Here is an 11062-nt window from a genome sequence, read left to right as displayed (position 1 = left end):
AAGAATTAGCTGGACATGGTGGCAAACACCTGTAGTCCCAGCTACTTGCAAGGCCGAAGTGGGAGGATTGCTTGAGTCCAGGAGATCGAGGCTGTGGTGAGCTGAGATCATGCCACTGCATTCCAGCCTGGGTGACAGAGTGAGATCCTGTCTCAAAAAAAAAAAAAAAAAAAAAAAGAATTATCCTCTATATCCAATTCATCTGCAAAGAATTATTGGTTCTTTCTGTTGTATAAGCATAGAACATCTATCTTCCCCTACCATTCTCAATTTCAGTCTACTCATTGTTTAAGCCAAATTTCAAAATCTATAAAACATATCCTGAGACCATCTACTTCTCGTTGCTCCCGTCTCTATAAACCCTGGTCTCAGGACAACTCCACTTGCCTAGGCTACCAGATTTTCCTAAATGCTTTCCTTGTCTTCCCATTTGCCCTCCCTTTCCACCCAGCAGCCAGAGTGATCCTATAAAAATGTAAATTACATATTATTCCCCTGCTTAAAAGCTTCAGTGGCTTCCTTTTGTTATTATTCCACTTAGAAAAGTGTCTAACTCTTGCCCTAGTCTACAAGCCCCATTTGATCTGGCCCTGATCACCTGCTGCTCAGTCTTCTATCATTTTTCCCCTTGCCCATACTTTCTAGCATCACTGGCCTTTCATTTCTATGAATACAGTAAGCCCTTCCCTGTCCCTGAATACGTGAGCTAGCAACTACTCCTGTCGCTCAGGTCTCACTGAAATGTCACCTCCCCAGAGAGGCCTTCTCAGACTACTTGATTCGTCCTCTCTTCTCCACTCACTCTCTGCTCTGTCAGAGAGTAAATTGCATTCACTTACTGTGCATTGCACAATTGCCATCTAATATTTATTGTCTATCTTCCTCCAGTAAAATGAAGACAGTGACTTTGCTTCACCAGCAGGGTTTATAGCAATACTTGACACATAATGAGCCCTCAAGAAACACTTGTTAAATGGTAAGTCTTTGTCTCAACTTTGGTAGCTTATGGAGGATCCCCATCATTTTCTTTTTTCTTTTTTTTTGTTTCGAGATGGATTCTCGCTGTCGCCCAGGTTGGAGTGCAGTGGTGCGATCTTCGCTCACTGCAACCTCTGCCTCCCAGGTTCAAGCAATTCTCCTGCCTCAGCCTCCTGAGTAGCTGGGATTACAAGCACTCGCCACCATGCCCGGCTAGTTTTTGTATTTGCTTTTTAGTAGAGACAGGGTTTCACCGTGCTGGCCAGGCTGGTCTCGAACTCCTGACCTCGTGATCCGCCCGCCTCGGCCTCCCAAAGTGCTGAGATTACAGGCATGAGCCACCGCACCCGGCGGATCCCCATAATTTTCTAATACAGTTTTAGTAACTCTGCCCCCTTCATGTTCTCTCAAACGGATAGCATTGCTTCGCCCACGAAAAGGATCAGTATTGCAGAGGAAGGGCTTAGATCACCCCTATCTCTCTGCAGCCAGCAGATCAAGATTTGGACTCAACTCAATAGTTTGGAATCATCAGATAAAGGAAAAAGGAAAAGCAGAAATGAATACTACTGAAATAAACAATGGTCATTTCTCACTTAAAATTTTGAGGAAGAGAGAAAGAAAAAATACCTTAAGATCAAACATTTTTTAACTTGGAGATGTTAGAGAAAGTAGGGGGGACAGAAAAATGTTAGAATGAGGAGGAAAACTGAATCAAGATGAGGCAAGAGGCAGAAAGAGCTCACACCATGCTGTGGGCTCTTGGTTCTGAGCTTGGATACCACGTCTTGCCTTCTGGATAAACTCTAAGGAAGACAGTGATGGAGTGAAGTGGGCTGGGGGCGATAGAGAGGATGGGGTGGGGCACCAGGCGAGAGATGCGAAGGAAGCCAGAACGAAAAGAGAGCGACCGAGGAGAGAAGAGAGCAGAGCAATACAAAAGCAGCCTCGGATCTAGCCGGAGCTGCAAGCGTTAAGGGGAGGCGGAGAGTGACGCGGTTTGCGTCTGGAGCGGCTCCTTGGAGTCCACAGCATCCACCGCCGGAGCCTCGCCTTCCTTTCTCCCTCTGCAGACACAACGAGACACAAAAAGAGAGGCAACCCCTAGACCACCGCGAAGGACCCATCTGCACCATGACCGAGACCACCAAGACCCACGTTATCTTGCTCGCCTGCGGCAGCTTCAATCCCATCACCAAAGGGCACATTCAGATGTTTGGTGAGTCCTCCCGCCCACCTCTGGAAGCCGCTTCCGCTCCTCTCCTTTCCCAGGCACCTGTGTTTTCCAGGGCGATCGAACGGGAAGGCGTGTGCCCCTTCGGAGGGGTGGGCCGGCTCATCCAGCTGGTGGAGGTCGGCCCCTTCATTTTGGACTCAGGGGAGGGTACGCAGACTGCGTTTCCGAGGCGTCACTTGCCGGGGCCAGACCCGGCTCGCAGGGGGCCAAAGGTGGGGGATGGGAGGGGACTAGAGATGAGTATCATTTGGGGCTGGGCAGGGGTTCGAGATACCAGAACTGGAGTGTGGCGGTGCGGTGGTTCGGCTACCAGGCTGGCGAAGACCGGGATGGGGGCAGAGGTTGGGGCGCCGAGTAGGGGAGGAAGGGGCTGGAGATAACGTGCTGTTTGTTTAGGATGGGCCGAAAGCTCGAAGGAGTTAAATCATGTATGTGCCTGGGATTCGCAAACACACTCGCGCCCGACACACCGGTGACAGGGGCTGGGGCTTCAAGATTAATTTCGGATTTGGCTGGTGATTCTGGGCGGCCCAGGGACCAGTGTTTGGGAATTGTGGGCCGTGTATTGCCCGCGCGAGGTGGATGCTGAGTGAATAGGGAGGGGGCCCTTTTCCGCCTAGGTTCGGCCTCAGGGACCCGCTGCCTAGGACGGGGAGGGGGCCGGGCGGAGGCTGCGGGAGGCCCTGCGCGAGCCGGAGCCGAAGGATCGGGGCCCAAGTTGGCTGAGGCTCTGCCCAGGGTGGCGATGGCACTCGGAAGGCTTGAGGCGTCTAGTGTGTGTACGAATGTGCGAATGACTGTGTGTGAGTATATGCGTGTGCGTGTTGGGGGGAGGGGACTTATCGCGCGTTTGTTTCTTAGAAGCTTTGGGGCGTGGAGTCAGAGAGAGCGAGCGGGGGCATCCGGCTGGCTGGTTCGGGGTCCAGCAGCGGTAGGGGAAAGGTGATCGATAGATGCCTATTGGAGGTCTCGCGCCACCGGTGGGAAGCCACGCGGCTTCGCAGCTGCTCGTAGGACTCAAAGGCGTGGGGCATGAGCGTTTAGACACGGAAAGAGGGACGCGGAGGTCACTTTAGAAGCAGGAATTGAGAAGTTAGAAGTTGGGGGTGCTTTTTCTTGAAACTGAGAGAAGCGAGGAGTAGGGAAAAGCGAGTGGGCTGGGATGGATGAGAGAGCGTGTGGGAGGCCCTGACCTGGCCCGCCAGCAAGGCGCTCTCCAGAGGCGGCGGTGCTGAAATGCAGGGCGCGCCGGAGCTGGATGCGGGCACACGTGTTTATCCGGAGCCTGAGGACTGCGCGAGCCCTCCTAGGGAGGTTTAGTGAAAACCACACCACAGCGGTAAAGACAGGGCGAGGTGGCTTAGGCTAAAAATATTCATCTTTAAACTTAAAAGGTGCGCTGAACTGGGCTCGCTTGTTAAAAACCTCATGGAAAGAATATAGAACTACTTTGAGCAAAGGGCAAATCGGGTAGGCATATCTACACGATAGAAGGAGGGAGGCTGAGAGATAGCCATCCCTTCTTCACCATTCCTTCAGCTTTCAAAAGTCTTTTATTAAGAACCAATGCCAACTTGCCTGTTAAATAAGGACTTCTGTTCCAGCATCAGGGTAGACAAGAGCATGTCATCAGTCTTCTAAGGACTATCAGTGCCCTAAGAACACTCCACTTTCACTTTCCTTTGATGCTGGTGTCTTCATCCCTTTCCTTCTTTTCCTGTCTGTCCATATGTCCTCTAGCACTTTATGTTGATGCGCTTTACTCCTCTCCCTTGACCAGGCAATGATGGGTTTTCCTTTGGAACCAAGAGAAAGGAGGAGTAGGGAAGAGCCATTGGGCTGGGGATGAAACTCTGTGGCTCTAAGAATCTTTGATGACCCAGCAGGTACTGCTCCTTTCTTCCTGAAGCTAGGAAATCCCAGTTGTTTTAGATTACAAGAGAAACAGATTTGGATTGAGAACCAAAGATTCTGTCTTGTAGCTGAAGATTCTTTGTTAACAGTAATAAAGGCTTTTGTTAAGCGAATGCTGACCTGCCAATTCTCCATGAGCTTCAAGGATAGACTATGTGGAAATAGACCTGAGTTGCAGTGGAAGGGTTTAGATATAGAAAGGTGAAAGGAGACTTTTGGCAGTAACGATTATTTACTTAGTATAAGAACTGAGGACCAGGGCAGAATGTGAACAAAGTCCTTTGCATGTCCATTAAAGTATAATTCAGAGAGTAATACAAAAAAAGGATATAATATGTTCACTCACTATGGCTTTAAGGAGTTTATTACCTAATGAAGAATTTAGCACATAAACAGGTGAAAATGAGGCAAGAATAAGAACACAAAATACACATTCAACTATTTTTGGTAGAATGTCTTATTGGAATCTTTGAGCTCTGGATAAATTTTATAATTTATTTTTGTAGAGCAGTTCTGGTTAACAAAGCCATTTCATCTATGTTATGTTACTTATTCCTGTTAAAAACCTTATAAGAAAAACATTATTACCCTTATTTTACAAATGAGAAACTGACAGAAGCCAAGTGACTTATGAACACACATGGAGAATGGGTGGCACTGAGACTTGAGCCTCATGTTCCTGATTCCTCTTGCAGAGGCCTTCATACTGCAACAAAGGCTGGAGGAAGTGCCCGCTCATCTTCTGACTGCATAATTCCATGAACACTCTATTTTCATGAACCATAAACTAAGAGAATTAAACTGGCCATCAACTAAGTGAGATTCATATATGTGCTTTTCCTTAAGATCTTTGTCTCATGTCTAAAGAAACCAGTTATTTATGAACTATTTCCTCCTTTTAAATTGCTTTAAAAATTTTCTCTGTGACAACACGGAAATAATTAATACAACTAAATTATCAAACTTTTGGCCAGGTGTGGTGGCTCACTCCTACAATCCCAGCACTTTGGGAGGTGAAGATGGACATTAACACATGAGCTCAGGAGTTTGAGACCAGACTTGGCAACATGGTGAAACCCCATCTCTACAAAAAATATAAAAATTAGCCAGGTATGGTGTTGCATGCCTGTAGTCCCAGCTACTGTGGAGGCTGAGGTGGGAGGATGGCTGAGGTGGAAGCCTGGGAGGCAGAGGTTGCAGTATGCCAAGATAGCACACTGCACTCTATTCTAGGTAATACAGCCAGACTCTGCCTTAAAAATTTTTTTTCAAGCTTTCTTTAAGGTGACTGAAATTTGTAATAATTTTTTTTTAAAAAACAGACACAAACAAGACTTTGAAATTAGGCATTTTAAATAGAGCTCCTATATCCTGAAATTCAATTTCTTATCAAAGGAAAAAGAGAGACTGTAAACAAAAAGAGAAGTGACATTCAAAACTCACTCTTCATCTTTGTAAAGTAGCACTTGTACAATTCTCAATATTTGTAAATATTTTTAGAATGAACTTTTCTTTTACTCTGAAAGGGAAGTTGATATTATTTCTCCTATTTGAAACTATAGAAACATACAGGAAAAAATAGTATTTGTGAGAGATATTTGACACTTGTATACTCAACTGTAACTAAAATGCTTTCAGGGATGAGTAAAAGTTTTTGGCAAAGTAAACTCATAAATGAGTGATGTCATATCTCATGGGTCTGCCTCATTACATAAGAAGATAATGTGGAATTGGAAGTTTTAAAAAATGTAACTGCTTAGTTTTTAACTATGTAGAGATTATAATTTAATGTAGCTTTCTTTACATTTATAGCTATATTTGTCAATAAATCTACCACTGGGAAGTCAGAGAGCAAGTTTAAATAGAAAAGTAAGAAAGGACAGCTCAGATTATTTTGGCTATATAAACAAAAACAGAGGAATTGGGGAATTTCATCACAGCAGAAATATTTCTAGCTATTTTTTGTATTTTTTTCTATTTTAATTTGTAGATATAGGGTCTTGCTCTGTTGCCCAGGCTGTAGAGCAGCAGCAGGGTCATGGCTTCCTGCAGCCTCAAACTCCTGTTTCTGCTAGCTGCAGTTTAAATCCATGACTCCAAAAACTATTATCTTTTCACTGCGCTCTGATATTGTCTCCAAAAATTACCAAAGTCTAGCATCTTTCCTCCTTTTAAGCCAGTCAGAGGTCTAATGCCTGACAGAGAGGAATAACCAGGTTGCAAGGAGTCATTCATTCAGGTCGGGTGGTTAATATCAGGGAGAGCTTTCTGAAATAAGCTTCAGTGAGAACAATTGGAATTGGAAACTTATGGCAGCCGCTGTTTTTGAAAATTAATATTTCTAGGCCGGGCGCGGTGGCTCATGCCTGTAATCCCAGCACTTTGGGAGGCCGAGGCGGGCGGATCACGAGGTCAGGAGATCGAGACCATCCTGGCGAACACGGTGAAACCCCATCTCTACTAAAAACACAAAAAAATTAGCTGGGCGTGGTTGCGGGCGCCTGTAGTCCCAGCTACTCAGGAGGCTGAGGCAGGAGAATGGCGCGAACCCGGAAGGCGGAGCTTGCAGTGAGCCGAGATCGCGCCACTGCACTCCAGCTTGGGCGACAGAGCGAGACTCCGTCTCAAAAAAAAAAAAAAAAAAAAAAGAAAGAAAAGAAAATTAATATTTCTTTAGAAAAATCATATTTCTTCGAAAAGACCCACAATACTGATAACTCAAATGGCACAAGATCTACTATAATCATTTTCCAAGTACCCCAGCCTGTGGCATAGTAGAGTCTCATGCTTAGGCTGGGTGCATGCTCACAGCCACCACCGTGCTCTCCAGCAGTAGTCCCTCCACCAGCATCCAGGAGAATGTGACCAAAAACAGGAGGACATGGTGCCTGTAGTCCTAACTACACAGGAGGCTGAGGTGAAAGGTCCGCTTGAGCCCAGAAAAAGAATTGAATTTGGTCATTTCTGGCTGTGACCAAGGCCATCCTCCTGGTATTGGCTCCCTCCTCCCTTTACATCTTCCAGTGTCTCCATGATTTGTAAACTCTGCAGCAAAGGCAAATATTACGACCACTACTAGTATCATCATCTTCCCCATTATCATCCTAATCATGAAGCCACTTTATTTGAACTTCTTTAAACCATACTGCCATTAAGCTATTTTTTCTTAAATTTAATGCATAATTCTCTTTAGCATTATACAAGTGAGCCAGCCAGGAAAATTCTTATAATCATGGCAATAAGAGGTTAAGAGGAGGAAGTAGCAAAGGAGCAAGACTCTGAGGCTAACCCCTGGAAGTGATGGCAGCTAAATAGCATTCTTTTTCTGTTTTTCCTCCTACATCAAATTGCCTCCACATGAATAGACATGCTGCAACATATTGACCTCATTTAATATTTACCAGGCAGTAGAAGAGATAGTAAAGCATATTCCCTAGATAAGACTAAATGCTTATAGTTTTATTCTTGTTTCAGTTTCTTAGGCCAAAAACCTTGGACTAATGCTTAATTATTCCCTGTTTTGGACACACTATTTATGTCCAAATGTTTTGGAATCTCTTTATCTTCAAAATATAACTAAGACCAACAACCTCTCTCCATCTACATCCCTGGTGCAAACCACTGTTAACTTTCATTTGAATTATTGCAATAGCTTCTTAACTGGTCTCTCTGCTTCCACTCTTGGTTGCAACACTCATTTCTTAACAAATTATCAGAGCGATCCTTTTGGCCGGGCATGGTGGCTCACACCTCTAATCCCAGCACTTTGGGAGGCCAAGGCAGGTGGGTCATGAGGTCAGGAGATCGAGACCATCCTGGCTAACAAGGTGAAACCCCATCTCTACTAAAAATACAAAAAATTAGCCGGGCGTGGTGGCACATGCCTGTAGTCCCAGCTACTTGGGAGGCTGAGGCAGGAGAATCACTTGAACCCGGGAGGCGGAGGTTGCAGTGAGCTGAGATTGCACCACTGCACTCCAGCCTGGGAGACAGAGCGAGACTCCGTCTCAATAAACAAACAAACAAAAAAACAGAGTGATCCTTTCAAAATGTAAGCCAAATCTAAGTCAGATCATGTTGCTCCTTTGCTCCAAATCCTCCAGAGCTCCGTATCTCTGTCAATCAAAGTCAAAGTCATCATCATGGCCTACAGGCCTCCATGATCAGCCACTCTGCCCCCCACCTCCACCCTAACGCATCTCTTCCACTTCATTCTTAGCTAACCCCATGGAACATCTTTGCTTTGGCCTTAGAGTCTTTGTGCTGAATGTTCCCTTTGCTGGGAATGCCCTTCCCCACCTAGCCCATGTCTCATTCGCTCCCCTCCTCCAATTCTTTACTCAAATGTAACCTTCTCCTCATTGTCCACTTGGCAGAACCTACTCCCCTGATCACATAATTTAAAATTGCACCTCACACACTCCCAGTCCCTGTTATTCTGCTCTACTTATATCTTTTCCCCTTCGTACTTATCACCTTTAAACAAAGCATGTTATTTCTTGTTTTCTTATGCTTATTATTCAATGCCTGTCTCCCCAGCTAGAGCTCCTCAAGAGCAGAGATCTTTGTTTACTCTGCTCATTAATGTATCTCAGGCTCCTAGGACAGTGCCTGGCATACAGTGAGTGCTCATTAAACATTTGTTGAGGCCAGGTGCGGTGGCTCAGGCCTGTAATCCCAGCAATTTGGGAGGCTGAAGCAAGCAGATCACTTGAGGTCAGGAGTTTCAGAGCAGTCTGCAATATGGGGAAACCCTGTCTCTACTAAAAATTCCAAAAAATTTGCCAGGCCTGGTGGTGCATGCCTGTAATCCTAGCTACTCAGGAGGCTGAGGTGGGACGGTCAGAGGTGGAGGTTGCAGTGAGCCAAGATCGCACCACTGCACTCCAGTCTGGGTGACAGAGTGAGACTCCATCTTAAAAAAAAATGTTTATTGAATGAGTAATGAGTGAGATATTAGATTCCTCATCTCAAGTCTATGGTAGACTTACTGCCAGGAATGATAGAGTCAGGAAGGCTCTATGGCTATTGATGATCTCTAGAGGAGATAACAAACTAAACAAAGCAATTGAGGTGAAAAGTGTTACAAAAGAGGTGAGAATGAGGTAAAGTGGGAACATGGAGGAAGTTACCACTCTGGACATGGTAGATGGGCCATTAGAGCAGGTGTTAGTGAGAGTTTGAGCTTGAAAGTTGAAGCTGCCAAGTGGACAGAATAGAGAAAGGCATTCTTGGCTGGGCGTGGTGGCTCACACCTGTAATCCCAGCACTTTGGGAGGCCAAGATGGGAGGATTGCTTGAGCCCAGGATTTGGAGACCAGCCTGGAATTTATAATGAGACCCCATCTCTACAAAAATTTAAAAAATTAGCTGGGTGTGTTGGCATGTGGCTGTAGTCCCAGCTACTTGGGAGGCTGAGATGGAGGGATCACTTGAGCCCAGAAGTTCAAGACCAGACTGGGCAACAAAGCAAGACTTCATCTCTTAAAAAAAAAAAAGGAAATTAAAAAAAAGAGAGAGAGAATGGCATTCTGGGAAGAGAGCAGGATATGTATGGAAGCCTCAACAGCATGGCGCATTAAGGAATTTCTAGGGAACTTGCTAGAGTGCAGGTGAGCACAGGGAAGGACAGATGAGAGAGCCAGAAAACAGGTTGGAAGGGGGGCAGTGCCAAGCAGTTCAGATCTGACCCAGCATTTTTTTTAGTGGGCCTCGAAAGGTGATGGGCAAAGGAGTACATGGCAGATGTTGGACCTGCATCCCAAATGTCAGTGTTCCCTTTGTTAGCAGTTCAGTAGGGAGCTGCCATTGTGATTTTATCTAAACATTTTAAAGTTATTATTTCTGTATCACTCTTTGAAGTGGATTTTTTCTTTTTCTTTCTTTTCATGATTTTATTTATTTATTTTTTATTTATTTTTATTTTTTGAGATGGAGTCTCACTCTGCCGCCCAGGCTAGAGTGCAGTGGCTCTGTCTCAGCTCACTGCAACCTCCACCTCCCGGGTTAAAGTGATTCTCATGCCTCAGCCTCCAGAGTAGCTGGGACTACAGGCACCCGCCATCATGCCCGGCTATTTTTTTTTTTTTTTTTGGTATTATTTTTGTAGAGACAGGATTTCACCATGTTGGCCCAGCTGGTCTTGAACTCCTGACCTCAGGTGATCCGCCTGCCTCAGCCTCCCAAAGTGCTGAGATTGCAGGGGTGTGCCACCATGCCCAGCCACGATTTTATTATTTTCTGAAATGGAACCATTGTACATTGTATAAAGTATATCTGTTGAGGAAATACATAAGTGAGAAATTCTATTGCTGTACAACCCACCAAAATAACAACAAACAAGCAAAAAATTCACCCCCCTGATAGGTTGTTCTTGCCTAGGATCTAGATTTTACTGTGCTTCACTGGAATGCCCTTGTTGCTCAAGTATTCTCAGATTTGGTGAACTCAGTTCACCCTAGTTTTATCTTCCATGATTTTGTTGGATTTGAATATGTGCCTGCTTTCTTCTCCACAGGCTTAATTGTCTGAAAAGTAAGCACTGTAGAGATCCTGTCTTTTGACACTTGTTTTTAGCACTAATCCTGGAGGTCTTGATCAAGACCTATTTCTATTCTTATAAAACTATGGTTCTGGCTGGGCACAGTGGCTCACACCTGTAATCTCAGCACTTTGGGAGGCCGAGGTGGGAGGATCACTTGAGGCCAAGGGTTCGAGACCAGCCTGGGCAGCATAGGGAGATCCCATCTCTACAGAAAATTTAAAAATTAGCCAGGTGTGGTGGTGTGCATCTGCAGTCCCAGCTACTCTGGAGGCTGAGGTGGGAGGATGGCTTGAGCCCATGAGGTTGAGGCTGCAGTGAGTCATGATCATGCCACTGTGCTCTAGCCTGGGTGAAAGAGAGAGACTCTGTCTCAAGAAAACAAAAACAAA

The 11062-nt window shown here is 45.4% G+C and overlaps 1 protein-coding gene across 1 annotated transcript in view; it reads left to right on the top strand.

The window, feature by feature from the left end:
• The first annotated feature begins 1999 nt into the window (after positions 1-1999).
• Positions 2000-11062, top strand: part of NMNAT2 (nicotinamide nucleotide adenylyltransferase 2) — a 170144-nt gene continuing 161081 nt past the window's right edge. Inside the window, exon 1 of the mRNA NM_015039.4 lies at positions 2000-2197. Within this exon, the coding sequence (NP_055854.1) occupies positions 2113-2197 (85 nt within the window). The 5' untranslated portion in view covers positions 2000-2112. The remainder of the gene's footprint in view (positions 2198-11062) is intronic.

The sequence above is a fragment of the Homo sapiens genome, chromosome 1 (assembly GCF_000001405.40).
Source record: "Homo sapiens chromosome 1, GRCh38.p14 Primary Assembly".
Taxonomy (NCBI): domain Eukaryota; kingdom Metazoa; phylum Chordata; class Mammalia; order Primates; family Hominidae; genus Homo; species Homo sapiens.
This window is presented reverse-complemented; position numbering and strand designations above follow the sequence as displayed.